The sequence below is a fragment of the Homo sapiens genome, chromosome 1 (genome assembly GCF_000001405.40).
Source record: "Homo sapiens chromosome 1, GRCh38.p14 Primary Assembly".
In the NCBI taxonomy this organism is placed as follows: Eukaryota; Metazoa; Chordata; class Mammalia; order Primates; family Hominidae; genus Homo; species Homo sapiens.
This window is the reverse complement of record NC_000001.11, coordinates 246447053-246469520: the sequence shown is the minus strand read 5'-3', so window position 1 is coordinate 246469520 and position 22468 is coordinate 246447053. Positions and strand designations below refer to the sequence as shown.

Sequence of the window (22468 nt, the reverse complement as noted above, 5' to 3'; positions counted from 1 at the left end):
TGGCTTCTGTATTTGATCTACCTCCATAATTTTTAGGAACACTTTCTTACTCTCTGGAATGACAAAATGTTCCAGTCCAACAAAATGTTCCAGGCTTATGTTGTACTTTGCCTTCTCAGCCTGGTTTCAGCCATTTAAAAAATCCCTTTAGCTTTTGTTGACATATTAACACCATGCCTTGACTGCTAGGTAGTAAGATTTATAATAAGTTTGGGCCTTTTTCGGCCAAGGGGAATTGTGGAATGGAAGAAGACCAAGATTGAAGAAGTCGTTGGTGAGACCTCCTCTGTTTGGGAGGTGTGTCAGATAGATGAGAGTGATTGTGGAAAGCAGGTGGCTAACAGCAGAGAGGCCTCTCCAGTGAGTGGCCAAGGAGACTGGCCACATATGGCAACTCTGAGTTCTTCATGGCATGTGCTTGTCATGCTGGGGATCCAGAAGTTCTCTTTTGCTCTAGTGATGGAATGTGGAGGTACTGAATGGGCCAGTGGGTAGGCAGTAGCCTGGGTTTAGCGTGAAAAGGCTACCATGTACAGAGGCTTAATGACTGAAGGCACAGTCTTGTTGGCCAGGCTGGAGTACAGTGGTATGATCATAGTTCACTGTAGCCTCCAACTCCTTGGCTTAGGTGATCCTCCTGCCTTAGCCTCCTAAGTACCTAGGACTCCAGGCATGTACCACCATGCCCGGCTAATTTTTAAAGTTTTTCCAGTGGTAATGTCTTGCTTTGTTGTCTAGTCTGGTCTTAAACTCCTGACCCCAAGCAACCCTTCCACCTCAGCCTCCCAAAATGTTGAATTACAGACATGAGCCACCACACCCAGCCCTGTTAATTTTTATTTGTTATTATTATTGTTATTAATTTTTTTTCCTTTTTTTGGAGACAGAGTCTCACTCTGTCACCCAGGCTGGAGTGCAGTGGTGTGATCTTGGCCCACTGCAACCTCTGCCTCCTGGGTTCAAGTGATTCTCCTGCCTCAGCCTGTCAAGTAGCTGGGATTACAGGCATGTGCCACCATACCTGGCTAATTTTTGTATATTTTGTGGAGATGGGGTTTCACCATGTTGCCCAGGCTGGTCTTGAACTCCTGAGCCCAAGCGATTTGCCCGCCTCAACCTCCCAGAGTTCTGGGATTACAGATGTGAGCTACCATGTCTGAACTGTAAATGTTTTTAAAAAGGCATATTGAATTTTGTCAAATGCCTTTTTCTGCATCTATAGAAATGATCATATATTTTTTGTTTTTCATTCTGTTAATGTGATGTATCATGTTTACTGATTTACTTATGTTAAACCATCTTTGCGTCCCTGGGATGAATCCCACTCCATCATGGTGAATTATCTTTTTTTTTTTTTTTTAAGACAGAGTCTTGTTCTGTTGCCCAGGCTGGAGTGCAGTGGTGAGATCATGGCTCACTGCAACTTCCACCTCCTGGGCTTAAGTGATCCTCCCAACCCAGCCTTCTGAGTAGTTGGGACTACAGGCATGTGCCACCACGCCCGCCTAATTTTTGTAATTTTAGTAGAAACGGGGTTTCGCCATGTTGCCCAGGCTGGTCGTGAACTCCTGGGCTCAAGCGATCTGCCCACCTTGGCCTCTGCAAGTACTGGTGAGTGCTCTTTTTGATGTGCTGCTGAATTTGGTTTACAAATATTTTGTTGAGGATTTTTGCCTCTATGTTAATCAGGGATATTTGTCTGTAATTTTCTTCTTTTATTGTGTCTGTCTGGTTTTGCTGTCAGAATAATGCTGGCTTTTTTGAATGAGTTTGGAAGTATTCCCTCCTCTTCCATTTTTTGGAATAGTTTGAGAAGAATTAGTACTAGTTCTTTAATTGCTTTTTAGAGTTCAGCAGTGAAGCTGTCAGGTCCTGGGCTTTGCTTTGATGGGAGACTTTTATCTTGGATTGTATGTGTTAGGAATTTATCTCTTTTTTTATGTTATTGAGTTGGTTGACCTATAGTTGTTCATAATATTACGATCCTTAGTATTTCCATTGTAATAGCTCCTTTTCCATCTCTGATTTTCTTTATTCGAGTCTTCCCTCTTTTTGTCTAGCTAAAGGTTTGTCAATTTTGTGTTTTTTAAAAAACCAGCTCTTTGTTTCATTGATCTTTTGTATTGTTTTTCTAGCCTCCATTTCATTTATTTCTGCTCTTATATTTTTATTATTTCCCTTATATTTATGTTGGGTAGTTCAAGCAAAACAGGTAGCATCCTAAAGTATGTGAAATCTAATTCTGTCAAATGATGTGTCTCTCCTGTCCTAAGTAATAGAGTCACAGCAACTTGCCATTGTTTTATTGGTAAGTGTATTTTATTTTTAAATTTTATTTATTTATTTTTTTTGAGATGGAGTCTCACTCTGTCGCCAAGGCTGGAGTGCAGTGATGTGATCTCAGCCCACTCCAACCTCCACCTCCTGGGCTCAAGTGATTCTCCTACCTCAGCCTCCTAAGTAGCTGCGATTACAGGCACACGCCCCCATTCCCGGCTAATTTTTTTGTCTTTTTAGTAGAGATGAGGTTTTGCCATGATGGCCAGACTGATTTTGAACTCCTGACCTCAAGTGATCCACCTGCCTTGGCCTCCCAAAGTGCTGGGATTACAGGCGTGAGCCACTGCGCCCAGCATTTTTAAAAAAAAAATTTTAAAAATTATTATTCTTTTTGAGACAGGGCCTCACTCTGTTGCCCAGGCTGGAGTGCAGTGGCATGATCATGGCTCACTGGAGCCTTGATTTCCCGGGCTCAAGTGATCCTCCCCCATCAGCCTCCTGAGTAGCTGGGGCTATAGGCATGTGCCACCATGCCCAGCTCATTTTTAGTTTTAAAATTTTTATTTTAGGTTCAGGGATACGTGTGCAGGTTTTTTATATAGGTAAACTCATGTGATGTGGGTTTGTTGTATAGATTATTTTGTCATCCACATATTAAGTCTAGTATCCAACAGTTATATTTCCTGATCCTCTCCCTCCTTCCAACCTCCACCCTCAAGGAGGCCCCAGTGTCTGTTGTCCCTCTTTATGTGTCCATGTGTTCTCATCATTTAGCTCCCCCTTTAAGCAAGAACCTGCAGTATTTGGTTTTCTTTTCCTGTGTTAGTTTGCTAAGGATGATGGCCTCCAGCTCCATCCATGTTCCTGCTGAGGACATGATTTTGTTCTTTTTATGGCCGCATGCATAGTATTCCATGGTGTATAGGTACATTTTCTTTATGCATTCTACCATTGATGGGCATTTCAGCTTTTGCTATTGTGAATAGTGCTGCAGTAAATATACATGTGCATGTGTCTTTAGGTTAGAATGATTTATATTCTCTTGGGCATATACCAAGTAATGGGATTGCTGGTCAAATGATAGTTCTGTTTTTAGGTCTTTGAGGAATCACCACACTGTTTTCCACAATGGTTGAACTAATTTACATTCCCACCAACAGTGTATAAGTGGCCAGGAGCAGTGGCTCACGCCTCTAATCCCAGCACTTTGGGAGGCCAAGGCAGGTGGATCACACGAGGCCAGGAGTTTGAGACCAACCTGGCTAAAGTGGCAAAACCCCATCTCTACTAAAAATACAAAAATTAGCCAGGTGTTGTGGTGCTTGCCTGTAATCCCAGCTACTCAGTAGGCAGGCGCACGAGAATTGCTTGAACCCAGGAGGCAAGGTTGCAGTGAGCTGAGATTGTGCCACTGCACTCCAGCTTGGGCAACAAAGTGAGACTCTGTTTCAAAAAAATGAAAAACAAAAAACAAGTGTTTAAGTGTTCTCTTTTCTCCACAGCCTTACCAGCATCTGTTTTTTATTTATTTATTTTTTAATAATCCAGATGATTTTTAATTTTTTTGTAGACATATGGTCTCACTATATTCCCCAGGCTGGTGCTGGTCTGGTACTCCTGGGCACAAGCAATTCCTGCCTCAGCCTCCCAAAGTGTTGGGATTACAGGCATGAGCCACCGTGCCCCGCCCCGATAGGTGTTCTTTTAATACTTCTTCTGAACTTTTCAACTTCCTTCATTAATTTATGTTAATTACCAGCACTGATTCCCTGCATCATCGAGGAGTTATTAGTGGTGTATTTGGCACTAGTTTTAGAAGTAGATGCCGCTATGTTTTATTCATTTACAGAGTGATGGCAGCTCATAGTTAGTCCTACAAGTGCATTATTACTGATTTGTGAATTCGTTTATTTTTCCTGAAACAATTCAAGTCTTTAGAAAGAGAATCCGAATTATTTTGTAGAATACCATCTCCTGCCATATCCCTTGGGTCTGATGAAACAGATTTGACAAGAAAACATCAGTTGGTGTTTAGGCATTTTTCTCTCTTTTATTAATTACCATCTTGAAGGATAGTAGCATCTGGAAAACAAAAAAAGAGGTTTAGCTGAGATGCTTTTGTTTGATTTATATTTTATCCCTGCAGTTTGTATTCCTCATTTTCAAGGAATTTCTTTGTTTCTTTTTTTCTTGTCAAGTAAAGCAGTGGGAGTGGCGAAGGAACAAAGAAATCCATAGCTGGTTGTGATCAATTAATTGTAAACACAAGGAATTTATTTCTTAAAGCAAGAAGATATATTAAATGACAATCTCAAGTTTCCCAAGTCAAGCTAAAATCAGATTATATGACAAAACCCTCTTCTTTCTTTGCTTTAACACAGAGAACAAAGGAAGATGCTAGTACTAATAAATAAACATTAACAGATCCATGGGGGAAAAAAAGACTACACAGAACCAGTTGTACTTTAGTGGCTAACAATTTATTGATAAGTCCAGACTAATCTTAACACAGTGAGCCAGAAAACTGAGAATTTAGAGGATGCTGTGTGGCTCCAAGAGTGTTTCCTCAACCACTGTCCTACAGACACACAAACAGTTTACCTAGACACCATCGTGGAGAGGAGGGGCTAAACCCTTCACATGGGTCCTGGATCCCGTGTATTTTGGCCTTCTTGGAAACTTATGCTATTGAATATTTTCTGTCTTTCTTGTATACCTTTTTTTGAGACAGGGTCTGTCTCTGTCACCCAGGCTGGAGTGCAGTGGAGCAGTCATGGCTCACTGCAACCTCCGCCTCCTGGGCTGAAGTGAGCCTCCCACCTCAGCCTCCCGAGTAGCTGGGATCATAGGCACATGCCACCACTCCTGGCTAAGTTTTTAAATTTTTAGTAGAGATGGGGTTTTGCCATGGTGCCTAGGTTGGTCTTGAACTCCTGAGCTCAAGTGATTTGCCCACCTCGGCCTCCCAAAGTGCTGGGTCTACAGGAGTGAGCCACTGCACCAGGCCTTTTCTTGTGTATCTTTAAACCTTTTTCTCTCTCTACTGACACATTCCCATCAGCTCTTAAACATGCTATATTGTCTTTCCTCAAAAAGAAAACAAAGAGCACCCTCTCCGTTTGCCTTACACTTCTTAAGGCTACTGTACCATCTCTTCTTCATAACCAAATTTCTCAAAACCTTTGTTAATAAACAGAGACTCCAGCTTCCTTTGCAGGCTCATCCTCGCCTGGCATCTAAAGTGTAGATTTTAGACCTGTTTCTGGGCCATCTTTTCCGTCCATATGCCTCCTCTGTTGTCTTACAGAGTTGCAATTACTTATATAATTGTTATTCTTGAAATTATATTTCAGTCTAAACAGACCTTTCTTTTAATTCCACACTCTTTTTTTTTTTTTTTTTTTTTTGAGACGGGGTCTCGCCGTCTCCCAGGCTGGAGTGCAGTGGTGCGATCTCGGCTCACTGCAAACTCCGCCTCCTGGGTTCACGCCATTCTCCTGCCTCAGCTTCCCGAGTAGCTGGGACTACAGGCGCCCGCCACAACACCCAGCTAATGTTTTTTTTTTTTTTTTTTTTTTTGTATTTTTAGTAGAGATGGGGTTTCACCGTGTTAGCCACGATGGTCTCCATCTCCTGACCTCGTGATCCGCCCGCCTCGGCCTCCCAAAGTGTTGGGATTACAGGCGTGAGCCACCGTGCCTGGCCCCACACTCTTGTATTTAACTGTCTAGTTGATATTTCAACTTAGATATCTCAGAGGAGCTGGAAATTCCACATGTTTAAAACAGTATTCTCAATCTTCATTCTTAAATTTGCTTCTCTCCTACCTTCCTTATTTCAGTAACTAGTACCCCACTGTTTTGTCCTTGTGACATCCTCTCTCCCTCTCCCTGACCTGTTAGCCTAATAACTGCAATCCTGTTGATTTCAGCAGTAGAATGTTTCTCAAATATACATATATCCCTGTATCTCTGCTATCATCATCCTAGTTGAAACCATCATACCATAACCTCTTGCCTAAATTTCTATCTTAGTCTCCTGATTCGTCACCTGGTATTCATTCTTGTTCCCCTCCTACCCTCCTAGCTACTGTTCTCGGTTCAGGGCTTCAGATTGTTAGCATGCCTATGTGTCCCTCCCTGCCTCATCTTGAACCACTCCTTGACTTTTTCCTTTTCTCAATCTCATTGCAGTCATTCAGCAAGTTCATTTCATTTTCCTTCCTATATCACCAAGTTTTTCTTGCATTCTCCTTTCCATGCCTACTACACAGTTCAGGCCCCCAGTTTCTCACCTGGATGTCATCCCTGCCACAGCCTCTTAGATGTGATTTTGCTGTCCCCTACCATTTTTTTCTTTCTTTTTTTCTACTCAATTAAAATGTATTTTGTTGCTTTGTTTACCAGCAAATTGTATAGTATGTATCTCATTTCGACCTAAAATGTTTCTTAATTCTCATTTCTTATTTACTAATCTGTTTTTTGTTAGCTCATAGAGTGAGCTATCTAAGATTTCTCTGAATCCTGATTTCTTACAACATAAAATCCAAAATCCTTAGTGTGTTTGTGTAGCCCTCCAGTTCTGACCCTTCTCTCAGCTCCAGGCTGAGTTTGTTTCAGCTATACCAGATGGCCTGATGGTGATTCTTCTGCCCTCCGAGCCTCGGGGTCAAGGGATGCGCCCAGAGATGGGGTGATCTGACATGCAGTTTTGTGGGTGGTGGGGTCTGTGTGACCCTTCCATTGCTCAGGTGTACAATTACCAGTGGACACAGTGGCACAGTCGGGGGCCTATGACTTGAGGCCAGGCCCCCATGGAGTCGTGGGAGAGGCAGGTCCAAGGATGGGGGTACCGCTGATCACTGTGGAGCACAGTTCTCCAGACCTCTAGGCATGGGGTCCTGCAGCATCCACGGGAGAATTCACTATACCCAGCAGGCCCCGCGAGAGGATGCACTGTACCCAGCAGGCCCCGCGGGAGGATGCACTGTACCCAGCAGGCCCCGCGGGAGGATGCACTGTACCCAGCAGGCCCCGCGGGAGGATGCACTGTACCCAGCAGGCGAATTCTTCTTGCCATGCCCGTACTCACAATGCTAGGCTTTCCACACCTCCACACACGTAAAAGTGTTCAGAAACCAAACCTTCACCTGGATGCCTCCTATCCTTTGTTTTAGATTTCACCTCTTTTGTGGAAGCCTTCCTTGCCCTCCCTACCACACTAGCCTGGATTAGGTACTCTACTCTGTGTTGCACTTTGCAAATTAAATTACATTTGGTTTATACGTTTGTTCCTTTTCTAAACTGTGAGTACCTTCATCTTTATGTCTCTAGAATTAGGCAGACAATCAATTAATTTAGAATAAATGAGAATGAATACGTGAACACAGGTATGCCAAAAGTGTGTGGCTCTGTGAAAACCAGCTAATAGTGGTACTTTTCCTGTGTCTGAGAAAACAAAGTTTGCGAATACATTTTCTCAATTTTAATTTTTTTTTTTTTTTTTTTGAGACAGAGTCCAGTTCTGTTGCCCAGGCTGGAGTGCAGTGGCGCAATCTTGGCTCACTGCAAGCTCAGCCTCCCGGGTTCATGCCATTCTCCTGCCTCAGCCCCCTCAATTTTAATTTTTTTTTTACATATTTTTTCTTAGCCTTTAGTTACCTAATTCTCTCTAGCAAAACAAATAGATAAGTAGCAAGTATATGTTTTTGAAAACACATGGAAATAGATTGCTGTGCTTTATATGATTTCTATTTTTCTATAGAAACATGTTTATGATGTGATTATTTTTGGCACTAAAATTGTTCTAAGTTTTTACTATGGATTTTAACATAATAACATGTATATAATTTGGAAGTATTTTATGACTTTTCCAGAAATATGTAGTGTTCTGCATAATACCTGGAGCTACATGTACTAGGTATTTAGGAAATATTCTTGTTGACTAATTTCCACTTTTTTTCCCACTAATTTCCACTAATTTCAGATAATTTCCACTATCTGATAAAGATGGACAGCCTTTAAACTAGAGAATAAACATGCTTGAATTAATTTTCCTTGAAACAAAATCAGATTATTAATACAAGAAATCCTACAAGATGCCCAACGCTTATTTGATGTATTGCTACATTCTCTTTAACTTACATTTTTCAGAAGTTACCTTAAACAATTTAGAGTCATTTTATGCCTTTAATAATATTTGAGCACAGCTGTCTTCTGCCTCATGGTCTTTTCTTCAGGCTAACTTGTCATGGCTTGTAGCCTTGTAGCTGATAGATACTCTTATGATGATTGGGGTTTATTTAGCCCAGACAGCATTCATTGTAAGTGTGGTAAAAATGTACTAAATTTGTACTTAGCTAATTAGGAGTTTATAATAATTCTGACATGCTGAATTGAAGTTTCTTTGTAATGTTCAAGGCAAAGAGAAAAGGATTTGTTTAGCTAATTAAAACTATAAACAAGACGGAATGTTTAATCTACTTGAGGCAAACCAACAACTGTTTTCAAGTACTTATGAAATCAACATAAACTAGGAAAACACCAATTGAAATTATTTTTTATTAAAACACTAAAGGATTTTCTAAGGCACAGCTTTTGACTGACTTCTTCCTTGGCATTTGTTCACATTATTAGGAAATAGGGGCCTACTGGTATTTTTCAAATCCTTTGTTCATGACCCACAGTGAGATATACATACTATATTGCTATTCAGTAAAAACACACATGTAACTGAAACAAAAGCTGTAGAAAATAATATTTAATTTCTTGTGATGCAGTATTTTAATTTTCTTATATTTCAAATATTAAAAAGTTCCTCTCAGGACAAGTAAATTGATTTTACAAATTGATCAAGATCCACAGCTTGAAAAAACTGGACTAGACTGTGCTTGAGTGCAGAGACCATGACATATTCATCTTTCTGTTACTAAGTGCTAGAGCAGGTGCTCAGTAGATATTTGAATAAATTGGTAATTGAGAAGAGGAGTAAGAAGTGAAATCAGAGTTGTAAAAGGAATAGATGTTTTTGACAATGAAGTTCTTGGATATAATAAAGGCAGTCGAGGTAAAGCACTGTGGTACTTATGGTTGGTATGAAATTTGTTTGTTTGCAGGAAATAGAAACCAGTGTTAGCTGAAGCAAAGAAGAATATATTAAAAGGATTCAGGGTATCTCACAGAAATCAAGCGTAGGGGTGTGTCTTGTGATTTGGGAAGGGAATGAAACTAGAAAGTGGAATGACTTCAAGAGCCTAAGTGTGTTATCTTGTGTTTTTTCATCCCTGCTTCTTTCTTTGTGGCTTTTTTTTTTTTTTTTTTTTTGGGTGGCGGAATGGTTTCCTCTGCAGCCAAATGACAGAAGAATCTTCAGTTCACGTGACAGTTTATTTCCAAAGCTCCTGATTGTTTTACATTTTGGTTCCAGGCTTTAATACTGTATGTGACTTATAGGTGGTAGAATAAATTAGTCTTTTGATATTTACTGTATGCCATGAGTTAGTAGTTTCAAGTCACTGGTTTCAGATAAGATACCTGTATTAGTCTGTTCTCACACTGCTGTAAAAAACTACCTGAGACTGGGTAATTTATGAAGAAAAGCAGTTTAATTGACTCACAGTTCCGCAGGCTGTACAGGAAGCATGGCTGGGAGGTCTCAGGAAACTGGAAGCGAAGGAGAAGGGAAATCTTACCATGACAGAGCAGGAGAGAGTGAAGGGGGACGTGCCACGCACTTTCAAATAACAAGATCTCACGAGAACTCTTATTGCGAGAATAGCAGAACAAGAGAGTGAAGGGGGACGTGCCACAAACTCTCAAGTAACAAGATCTCGCGAGAACTCTGTCAGGAGAACAGCAGAGCAGGAGAGAGTGAATGGGGACGTGCTACACACTTTTAAATAAGATCTCGCGAGAACTCTATCATGAGAACAGCAGAGCAGGAGCCACTTTCAAATAACAAGATCTCTTGAGGACTCTATCACGAGAACAGCAGAGCAGGAGAGAGTGAAGGGGGACGTGTCACACACTTTCAAATAACAAGATCTCGCGAGAACTATCACGAGAACAGCAGAGCAGGAGAGAGTGAAGGGGGACGTGCTACACATTTTCAAACAACAATATCTTGCGAGAACTCTGTAAGGAGAACAGCACGGGGAAGTCTGCCCCCATGATTCAGTCACCCCCCCATCAGGCCCCTCCTTCAACACACGGGGATTACAATTGGATATGAGATTTGGGTGGGGACACAGAGCTGAACCATATCAACATCCTATTCTACAGTTCAGTATTTCCAGTAGCTTTGTTTTGCCTACTGGGTCAGATGAATACACATAGAATATATGCGTGTATGTTATAATCATTACTTGCAAAAGTGTTAATTCAGCACATTTTCACATCACATGTTCCTGGCACTAGGTTAGGCTGCAGAATAGTTACAAAGATGGATATAATGTACTGTATTTAGAATGACTTTTCCGGCCGGGCGCGGTGGCTCACGCCTGTAATCCCAGCACTTTGGGAGGCTGAGGCGGGCGGATCACGAGGTCAGGAGATCCAGACCATCCTGGCTAACATAATGAAACCCCGTCTCTACTAAAAATACAAAAAAAAAAAAAAAAAAAAAAAAAATCAGCCAGGCGCGGTGGTGGGCGCCTGTAGTCCCAGCTACTTGGGAGACTGAGGCAGGAGAATGGTGTGAACCTGGGAGGCGGAGGTTGCAGTGAGCCGAGATCGCACCACTGCACTCCAGCCTGGGCAACAGAGCGAGACTCTGTCTCAAAAAAAAAAAAAAAAAAAAAAAAAAGAATGACTTTTCTACTTGAAGGTTATGGCCTTGTTCCAGCAAAGTATATCAAGTCATGCACAGATGAGCTATGTTGATGATATCACTTCAGAATTAGTCTTCAGTTTTTCCAACTCTGCTTGTCTTGTTTCTCACTTTTAACTCTCCTTTTCTCATCTGAGATGGAAGACCTGAATACTTTGCCTTTTGACCTTTCTTCACTTTCTTGGCTCACTATTTATATTCTACATGTGGGCTCAGTCATTATTTTAATATCTGTCCTTGTAGCCTGACCCTCGGGTGCCCACAGCTGTGACCTGCCATCAGGGAAGTCTTTATTAGGCACAACATGGAGTCCTGAGCCCCTCTTGGACCCAAGTCAGAAAAACAGGAAAGTTGGACCAGAAAATAATGCTTGTTATCTTCAGGAAATGAACAGACAGATGCAGGTGATAAAATCACATACGTTTTAAATATAACATCATAACTGTCATAACTCAAGTTTGAACAAAATACTATAGGAAAGTTTATGCTAGTGACTGTCACATAGTAGGGCCTCCAGAAAAACTTTTGGAAAGAATCAGTAGTGAATGAGGATGTCCATTTATTCTGGTGTAGTTATAAATAGCCTTACTGAAGAGGTAGCATTTGAGCTATTTCTGCAGGATCTGTAAATTTTGGATAGTAGGTAGGCAGTGGATTGGGTACTTCTGCTGTACGCACAGCTTGTATAAAAGCACTAAGTTGTGAACAGATGGAGAATATTGATTGTGAATGTAGTATTGATTATGTGGGAGAATGGTTGGAGGTATTGGTTACAGCCAAGTTGAGAAAGGCTGTATAGGCCATGGTAGAGAATTTGGACCTTCTTTTCTTTTTCTTTTTCTTTTCTTTTCTTTTCTTTTCTTTTCTTTTTTTTTTTTTTTTGAGGCAGAGTCTCGCTCTGTTGCTCAGGCTGGAGTGCAGTGGCACGATCTCAGCTCACTGCACCCTCCGCATCCCAGGTGCAAGTGATTCTCCTGCCTCAGCCTCCCGATTAGCTGGGATTACAGGTGCCTGCCATCATGGCTGGCTAATTTTTTGTATTTTTAATAGAGACGGGGTTTCACCATGTTGGCCAGGCTGGTCTGGAACTCCTGACCTCATGGACCTTATTTTCTAAGAGTCACCTGAGAGTTTCCAATAGAGGAGTGATGAGGGAGAAGATTTATTATTTTATTTTATGTTTTTATTTTTTCTCTATTCTTACCCTTGAACATTCACCTCTCGAAAGATTTATTCTTCTGAAATATAACTCTGTGGTCAGTGTTAGCCTGAAGTGGCCAGAGATGATCAGTATGGACATGAATTAAGATGCTGTTTTAAAAGTCTATACAAGAAAAGGAAAAAAAGTCTACTCAAGAGATGGAAGGCTCCATATAAGGCTGTAGAAGTGAAAGCACAAAGGAGAACTTAAATTCGATATTCTTTGGGGAAGTAGACTTTACAGGACCATTTTCTTTAACCTAGAGCCAGATTTGGATTAGTCTGGTCCATTCGGTGTACTAGGTGGAATTTAATAAAGCTAAGCCCTGGGTACACCATTCCCATCCCCTTGTGTCCTCCTTCATAACTTTGATCTTGTGTCTGCCTGCTTAATGATACCTTAGCCATGTCTCCAGTTTTCCAACCTTGCAATGACTCCTTAGACCTGATTATAGATATTTGATTTCTCTTTGGATTTTGGCTATCACTCACCTTCTGGTCCCACTCATTTGTGGGTTCTTCGCATATTAAAACAAAGCAGGACAAAGAAACAGTCTTATGGGGAAAATATAAGTTATAATAAATGGTGCTAAATGCTTCAACAGAGGCATAGACAGAATACTGTGGAAGCTAGGTGGAAGGACTGCCTAATGCTCCTGGGGTCAGTTAGGGCAGAGGAGAAAATGCTTTAGCTTGGTGTTGGTGGATGAGTAGGTATGTTACATGGGAAATTTGAGGTGCCTGTGAGATATTCAGGTGGAGCTGACCAGTCCAGGAGATGGCTGGAGTGATGGATCTAGAAAAGCAGTGGGTCTCGACCTTGTGTGCCTATTAGGGAAACTAAACAACAAATTCATGCCTTGGTCCTATTCGTAGAGATACTGATTTAATTTATATGACACAGGGACACAGTTTGGTATGTCTTAAAATCGACTGAGGTAATGCTAATGTGAAGCCAGGGTTGACAATCGGAGCAACTCAAGAGAGAGATATTCCTGGAGAAGGTAGAGATAGGTGATAGCTGAAGGCTTAGATATATATCAGCTTAGAAACAGGGAGAATGAGAAGAAAATTGGGCCAGAGACAAATTCCTTTGGGATTACCAACATTGTGGTAGGTACCAAGGAGGTGGCCAGCAAAGAACCTGCAAACATAATTCCTACTCTTAATTGTACTGTTTTAATATAGGTTATTGATGTATTTTTGCATAGTTTTTCCCTGCTATGACTCAGAGTGGATATCAGCTATCAGGATATACTTTAAGTGCCTGATTCACGTATCTGTTGTTGATTGACAGACTGATGCAACCGATAAACATTAATTCTTTTATCATTGATGTAGAAAATCATGACCTTTAATTCATATCAGCAGCAAATACCTATATCTGCCTCCAAGTTTATTTAAAGGAATGCATGAAAGTAATAATTTCCAAGAATCCTTTTCAGAATTCAAAGTCACCTGTCATTTTTGCCATAAATTCTTTGAGGCATGAAATAGCCTGCCAGTTGTCTATTGCTCTCAAAGTTAATGAATGGTTATCAATTTATCATGGGTAATAACCTAGCTGCAAATTGTAAAGAACGCATTCTATCACTTTCTAGCATTTTTGCCTCAAGGCAGTATCTGGCTTTTCTATAGTATCTGGCTTTTCTATAGCATTTGGAGGCTCAGTGTCCCTAAAGCTTTTAATAGAACTCATTTCTTTCTAGGAAACCTCTTAACATTTGGTAATAGCTCAATGAAATATTAGCTGGTTATATCTTGCTTTGTGTAATAGATTTTGTGTAAATAAAATTTCTCAATGTAGGACTGGAAATACAATTTCTTGATGTACATTCAATCCAGTATAGCATGACGGTTTTAGAGATATTTCATTTTTATTTCCAATTCATATTCCATTCAGTTCTTATAAGCAAATGTGGTGGTTTTCCAATTCTCTATCTTCCTGGTTAGGTAGTTAATGATTGGAAAACAGGACTGTTTCAAGGAACTTTATTTTTAAAGGAATACTTTTTCTCTCCCTACAAAGTGAGAAATTCTCTATAACATGAGCTCTTTCAGATCAGGGACTTGGACTTGACTGTGTCTTTATTTAAAAAAACAAACAAAAAATGCTGGGTCTATGTCTTATTAAATTTAGCATTTCAGGCACTGAGCACAGCATCATAACTCAGTAAATATTTGCTGAATTAATGTGAATTATCACCCTACATCTTCAGTTATAAATTTGTTGTATTGTAGAGTGGGTTATCTAAGGGATGGGAGGACATTGATTTAACCCAATATGTGGCTTTTATTACAGTACTATAAATAGAGGTGACTACAGAGCTCAATGTGCCTATTTTCAGTCACAAACTTGATTTCAGTCCCAGTTTTTTCATTGTTAAACAGCTGCCCTTAGAGCTTGCATCCAGTCCTGTTGCTTTATATAAGAAATCTTTGAGTATTTTTATGTGTTTCCTTTTGACTCATTCAGTAAAAGCCTAGCACAGTGACTTGTTAAATTAACTCTGGTTACTGAAATTAATTAGTGAATATGTTTTAATGAAATAGGATGATAAACATTGCTGACGTTTGAGGCTTTAGTGTGTTTTTAATAATCCCTCATCAGTTATTACTACTGCCGTGGATTATTTGCCTGTGTACATTTTATAGTCCTCCAAATCTTTTCAGCTTCTAAAAGTTGGAAGAAATAAAATTCTATTCTGATTGATTGCTCCTTAGATTTTTATTCCTGTAATATATATGGGAACTCAGAGAGAAATTCTCCCATTATTAGTTTGCCTTATGTATTTCTTTTCATGTATTGCTTTGTATTCTCTTCATGTTTGTTTCTCCAAGCATATAATAAATATTTCTCTTGATGGAATCATACCTCACATTTTATTTTGACTGCTGCAGAGTTGTGCCCATAGTAGCAACTCCATAAGTAATGGTTGCCTGGTTGCTTGACTGACTGACTGATTATGGTGCTAATGGTGACGGTTAAAGCATTTTTCCCCACCTCAATGCATAGCAGTTTCTTTATGGATGCACACCTATCCCATTAAACTATTTCCTACAGAGAATCTTGGTTTCCCATGTTAACTCATTTCATAGTTGAATGATCCTTACTTTTTAGGGGACACTTCTCTGAATGTTTATTCAGGATTTCTCTTTTTTGCATTGTGAACAATTTCTTCACGTATTACCTAATCTGATTTGACTGGGCATTAACTGCCAACCTTAGGCCTTAAAGTGGAATAGGAGCCGACTAGAAGATCCACTTGTTCCATCAGATCCTCACCCAACTTCAGTGCTTTATTAGTAGTTAAAATGTGGACTGTTGTAAGGTGTAGTAGAGATTTACTAACAGTTTGCAGAAAAGTGTTTCTGTATCATGACCGTGCTCTTGGGCTGGTAATAGAAGGTATTAAATTTGTTAAGGGTTGGCCTAAAAGATTGGGCATAATTGGGTTAGCTGACAAAGCTCAAGTGTATTGCATACACCTGATCCAGGTAGGTGGCGAAACGGTGGGCCTTTTTAAGGCTGGTTTGCTTTCAACCCTGTGGCTTTTACTTAGGTGCCTGAGGAGCATTTTAAGTCAGTTCATACCTTTTGAATACCTCGCTTTTGGTAAATTTGGAGTTTATGTTCACTGATAAACCAGCAGGGTTGTAATTTTTTATTCAAATAGGAACTATCTACTTATTTTTATTTCTAGTTATTTTACCTTTTTTGTCAGTAGTGTAAATAGCATCTTTTTATAGTATATTTTCTAAGTTTTTATTGTTTACATATAGAAGCATCGTAGTTTTATGTGATTTTGTAATCCACCACTGTACTAAATTCTCACTTATAACAATGTTTCAACTTTTTTCTCCCTTGAATTTTGCAAATGTGTCATATCATCTGCATATATGGATACTTCCGCCTCCTTCAGTCCGATATCGTGTTTCATATAGCATAGTGGTGAGAAGCACCGGCTCTGGAACTATGACTGCTTGTGTGTTAAGCCTGTTTCTACTAACTTGCTAGCTATGTGACTTTGCGCAAGCTACTTATGTTCTCTGTGCCTTGCTCTCTCCCTCTGTAAAATGAGATAATAATAGTACTGCCTTATTATTATGACGATTATATGAATTAAATGATTTAGTATTTGTAAAGTGTTCAGAACAGTATCTGACATATAGTAAGCACTGTAAAAATGTGTGGTAAATAAATAAAACTCACATAAGATTTTTTTTCCCTTGCATTGGCTAGTATGGTACTTCTAGATGAATATTAATCTAGAAGCCCAATGGTGGGCTTTCTTTATTCCTCCCAGACTTCAACAGAAATGCTTGTGTGTGTCATTGTTTTAGTGTTTCAGTAATGTTTCCAGTAAAACATTAGAAAGTTATAGACTGATATGAAATGTATTTTTCCATTATGTTAAGGAAATAGTCATCTATTGCTATTTTGCTAAGCGTTAAAATCAGGAACGGTTTAAAAATTTCATCATGTCTATTTGGCATCTACTTAGATGGTCATATAACTTTTCTTTTTTGACCTACTTATATGGTTGCTTGTATGAGTAGAGTTCCTAATAGTGAACTCTCCTGGAATCACTGGAGTAAACAGTTGTGCCTATAGCCTATCCTTCATTTAGTGCATTTATGAGTTCTCATTGCTATTACTTTTAAAGTTTTTGCACCAATATTTATAAATGAGTCTTTTTTTTCCGTTTCTTTTTTGAAACGGAGTCTTGGTTTGTGGCCCAGGCTGGAGGTGCGAACTCTGTCCACTGCAACTTCCACCTCCCAAACGAGTTCAAACGATTCTCGTGCCTCAGCCTCCCCAGTAGCTGGTAGTACAGGTGCACAACACCACCCATAATTTTTGTATTTTTAGGAGAGACAAGGTTCTGCCATGTTGGCCAAGCTGGTCTCGAACTCCTAGCCTCAAGTCATCCACCCATCTTGGCCTCCCAAAGTGCTAGAATTACAGGTGTGAGCCACCGCCCCTGGCCCGCAAGTGAGATTTGACAGTAATTTTTAATGTGTTCGTTGTCAGGTTTTGGTGTCACTGTGTGATGCTGTAAGTATTTGACAGTTTCCTTCCTTTTTCTATATTTTAGAAAAGTTTAGGTTTAGTGATCTATTCTTTTAAAATTTAAAAGAATGTTAAATTAGAATAGGAAGTGAGAGATTTAGTCCTGCTGTCTTAATTTCACAGATGAAGAAACAGTGGCTTCTTTACAGCCACTTCATGTCAGCTACTTGGGGTAAGCAGTTGCGGTTGTGCTACGGAGGTGAGGAAATAACATTTATTGAGCATTTATGTAGGCATTTAAAAAAACAGTATATTTTTGATGTACTTGTTAGATTTGGGTTTTGCTTATTTGATATCTAAAGTTAAAGTAAAAAAATTTTATTGACTAAAAAAAACTACTTTTTAGAGTAGTTTTAACTACATAGCAAAATTGAGTGCGTAGCACAGAGAGTTCGCATAGACCCTCTTCCTCTACACATGCACAGCCTCCCCTACAATGGACACCCCCCGCCAGAATGGCACGTTTGTTGCAACCGATCACCTTCTACTCATGACATTATCACCCAAAGTGAATAGTTTACATTAGCGTTCACCCTTGGTGTTGTAAATCCTATGGGTTTTGACATATGTGTAATGACATGTATCCACCATCATCATATCATAGAGTAATTTCCCTGCCCCCTGAATCCCCTGTGCCCTACATATTCATCCCTTCCCTCCCCAGCTCCTGGTCATCACTGATCCTTTTACTGTCTCTATAGTTTTGCCTTTTCCTAAATGTCATACAGTTGGAATCGTATAGTGTGTAGCCTTTTCACATTGGCTTCTTTCGCTTAGTAATATTCACTTAAGTTTCCTCCGTGTCTTTTCAGAGCTTGATAGCTCATTTATTTTTAGTGCAGAATAATATTTCATTGTTTATAAAATGCTGTTGGTTTTGAATGGCTGAATGTCTTTCCCGAAGATAACTTAGTCACCTTTTAATCCCAGAATCTTGTCAGTCAGCTAACAGATATTTATTGAAGGCCAGCAAAGTGCTTTGCCATTCTCCTAAACCCTGAGGAGACAGCAGTGATCAACACAGACAAGAGCTGTGTCTGTCCTTCTGGAGCCTGGCATAATTTCCAGGACCGGCAGGCACCTGCTGAATGTTTGTGGTTGAAGTATGTTAGTTTGTGACCCACCATTGGGAGATTCTTTGTCTTTAGGGAATTTCCAAATGTGGTAATATGCATTTATTTACACTAGGTGGTGGTAGAGTCATGTACACTGAACAGTTGGCACCTTAATTAAGTCACTAATTGTTTGCTTATAAATATAGTTCACTTCATAATGATTAAAATTTAAATACGTTTATATTAATTCACTGGAATGTAATCATTAATTAAAATGTGAACTTGTAGTACATCTTTCAGAATAAATCCCAATAAGTAGACTTTCTCAAATTCTTCAGTTTGCTTCCTTTGTTTAATAATCACGCATTTACTGAGATTCAGTTACATGCTAGGCATTGTGCCAGCGTGGAGGATTCAGTGTCGAATATGATTCCTTTTTGTCCTTGAGATGTCACAGTTTAGTGAGGGAGACAGAAATGAGACTAGATCCATTAAGTGCAGTGGAATGCCTATGTCTTAAGTATACCATTCGATGAATTCCGACAAATGCATACACCTGTGTAACCCAAATCTTTATGAAATTATAGATCACTGCCATCTTGGGGTGGGCATTTTTCAGGGCCGTGTGCAGCTGAGTAAGCAAAAGAAGCAGGTTGAGAGAAGAACAACGGAGGTGATCAAATCAAGCATTTCCTGAGAGAGCAGCCTGATTTATTGAGTTATTTATCAGTTGAAACTCAGTCTTTGGGAGTCTGGGATGTCCCTATAGTTCTGTTGATGAGTTTTTTTTTTTTGAGATAGAGTTTCGCTTTTGTTGCCCAGGCTGGAGTGCAATGGTGCGATGTCGGCTCACCTCAACCTCCGCCTCCCGGAGGCGTTCAAGCCATTCTCCTGCCTCAGCCTCCTGAGTAGCTGGGATTACAGGCATGTGCCGCCACGCCCGGCTAATTTTGTATTTTTAGCAGAGATGGGGTTGCTCCATGTTGGTCAGGCTGGTCTCGAACTCCCGACCTCAGGTGATCTGCCCACCTCGGCCTCCCAAAGTGCTGGGATAATAGGTGTGAGCCACCATGCCCGGCCTGTTGATGAGATTTTACATGAACTAGTTTGGGTCATTTTCTGTCACAGTAGTCAAAACGGTATGCCGAAGCTGCAACACTCATCTTTTAGTTTCTAAAGTGAGGGACTTGGCTCTATACTCCCAATAACATTACTTAAAAACAAACAAAAAAAACCTTTCCACACCTAACGTCAGCAGGTTCATACTCACAGGATTAAAGGTTTCAAAGCTGAAGAACATAGCCCAGTCAGAGCACCTGACTTCATTGACACTTCTCTGTGTCAGGCACGGTGTCCTTTTGTGTTTATTTTCTCTTCTTAGGGCAGCCCTAAGCAGTGGGTGCTTATTGTTCCCTTCATGGAGAACATCAGTGAGGAAATGGGCGTTCAAAGAGATTCTAGAACTTGCATCAGGTAATCGCTGGAGAAGTCAGATTTCCAAACACAGGTCTCACGTTCAAAGAGATTATAGAACTTGCATAAGGTAATCGCTGGAGAAGTCAGATTTCCAAACCCAGGTCTTCCTGGCTCCAAAGCAGGTCCCTCCTGCCCCATATCACACTGTCTCAGAAGAAGGAATTCTAAGTTAAAGAGCAAAAACATCACAAAAATAACTAATTGATTTTATTCTGGTTGTGGAAATAAATGAGGTCTACCCAAATGAGTACAATCAAAGGCTACTTATTCAGAGCTTTCTTTATATAGTAAGGGAATCCACCACCATCTATTCAATTTGGTGGAGATTCAAGGAAGACAGAGGAATGGGAAAACTTTTGTTTATTTTATTTTTTTTCTGGAGATAGGCTCTTGCTCTGTTGACCACGTGGAGTGCAGGGGCGTGATCATGGCTCATTGCAGTCTCGACCTCCCAGGCTCAAGTGACTCTCCCATCTCAGTCCCCCCTGAGTAGCTGGAACTACAGGCATGTGCTACCATGTCCAGCTAATTTATTTTTATTTTTTGTAGACACTGGGTCTCACTATGTTTCCCAGGCTCATCTTGAAGTCCTGGGCTCAAGTGATCTTCCTGCCTTGTCTTCCCAAAGTGTTGGGATTACAAGTGTGAGCCACTGTGCCCAGCAGGGTAAACTTTAGAGTGGAAAAAAGGGAAGGTTTCAGGTATGCCCTGTTTGTAGGCTGTTCCTGTGGGAAGCTGTAGGTGAGCCAACTAAAAGCATAGCAACCTGTGTGATTAGTTAAGGGTACATTTTTGGCTTTCTCTGGTTGGTCCTACATTGGAAGCAGGAGCAAAAATTAGGGAAGCTGACAGTTACTAATCATTTCCTGGCCATTTTGTCCTTTTTTTTTTTTTTTTTTTTTTTTAAAAAAAAGAGATGAGATCTTGCTGTGTTCCCCAGGCATGATCACAGATAGTGTGGCTTTGTACAAATTCTTAAGGGCATTGTTGGGCTTCCTGGGCTAGTTGCTAGACAGTAACCAGTCTGACTTCCTAGACTGGTTATTGTAGATAATAGGTTGGTTGCCTGGGCTTGTAGCTGCAGGTCGTGGGTCGTAGTTACCTACGATCTGGCCTTTGACCATTTGTTTATTTAGTCTCTCAGTAGATATGTTGGGGATGGGTATTCCCTGCCAACAAATTGATTGTATAACATATTCAAAGTTCTGTTTTCATAGGATAATGACAGTTGACTTTTGGAAAGGGAAGAGTAGAGGATGAGGAGAAGAGCATTTATTGAACAGCAGTTTTATCTTAGTCTCTGTGCGTTGGTTCTCAAAGCGTGGTCTCCAGAATAGTGGCTTCAGCATCATGTATTGTGATCATGTAAGAGATTATGTTATTATTTTTTTTTGAGACGGAGTCTCGCTCTGTTTCCCTAGCTGGAGTGCAATGGCGCGATCTTGGCTCAATGCCGCCTCTGCCTTCCGGGTTCAAGCAATTCTCCTGCCTCAGCCTCCCGAGTAGTTGGCATTACAGGCATGCGCCACCACGCCTGGCTAATTTGATTATGTTATTCTTAATAGGAATCATATGCCAAAGGTCTTAGGGATGAGTTAAAATGTATGCAACTTATTTTCAAATGGATGAGCAAAAGAACGTACAGATACACATATGTAGAGAGGAAGCAGACGTGGAAAGTTGTTAACAAATGTTGAATCTGGGGAAGGGTATATTAGTGCTTGTTGTATTTTGATCTCCTCACCTCTTCTATTTGAAAAAAGTGGGAGGAAAGCAATTCTCTTAAAAAGCTGGAAGTGAAACAGTAGAGCTCAGTAATCCAAGTGATGATTACATGGCAATTAATTCCCCAGAGGAGATGGGGCTGCTTCTAACTGGGAGAAGGTGTAGAATGAAGAACTGACTAAGCATAGAGCTGACCTGCCTACTGTGATTTATGGTGTGTGTGTCCTGCTAGCTCTCCTTATGTGGATACTTCTGTAGACTATAAGACTGAAAAAGAAATATTGGAAAGACAATCATTTCTTGTATTGAGATAATCTTTTAAGACTGGTGAGACAACTTCAGGTGCGTGGCCTCTGAATCAGTCAGTTTCTGTCTCGTGTATTTGTGAGAGAAACTTCTGGAAATTTTGTTTTCAAATGTCAAATATATTTCAGTATTTTCATCTTGTCATAAGTTTGGAATTTTCCTCTGAATTTTATAGCCAAGAATTTTTCTGTCTTGAAGAAGTTGATTATTTGTATTACGGTAATAATTTTACAAGTACTCTTTTCTCATAGCACATTTTGTTACACAGTGTTCCGAAAGTTATTGGGACCAGAAATGTAAAGTGATACACTCTACTTACTTAATTACCTCCCCAATTCCTCTGATAAAGGCAAGACATTATAGATGATCCTATAATTAAATCTGGTTTCCGAAGGAAATGTTATAACAATACATTTAACATTTTAATGCAGTCTTCATTTATAGGATTTGAGATTGCTACTTGAAAGCTATATAGTTTAAAATATAAAACTTGCTCTAAGTTATGGTGTGATTAAATTAGATAGGA

General features: G+C 40.0%; 1 protein-coding gene across 3 annotated transcripts in view, besides 1 other annotated feature; it reads left to right on the top strand.

The window, feature by feature from the left end:
* SMYD3 (SET and MYND domain containing 3) overlaps positions 1-22468 on the top strand; it is a 757933-nt gene that overhangs the window by 37759 nt on the left and 697706 nt on the right. The gene's annotated exons all lie outside the window — the stretch shown is intronic.
* Positions 19591-20151: an enhancer, noted in NCBI's record as "OCT4-NANOG hESC enhancer chr1:246612672-246613232 (GRCh37/hg19 assembly coordinates)". NCBI's record gives its function as "activates a minimal SCP1, AML or CMV promoter by ChIP-STARR-seq in primed H9 embryonic stem cells {active_cell/tissue: H9 hESC(primed)}" and the evidence as "EXISTENCE:reporter gene assay evidence [ECO:0000049][PMID:30033119]".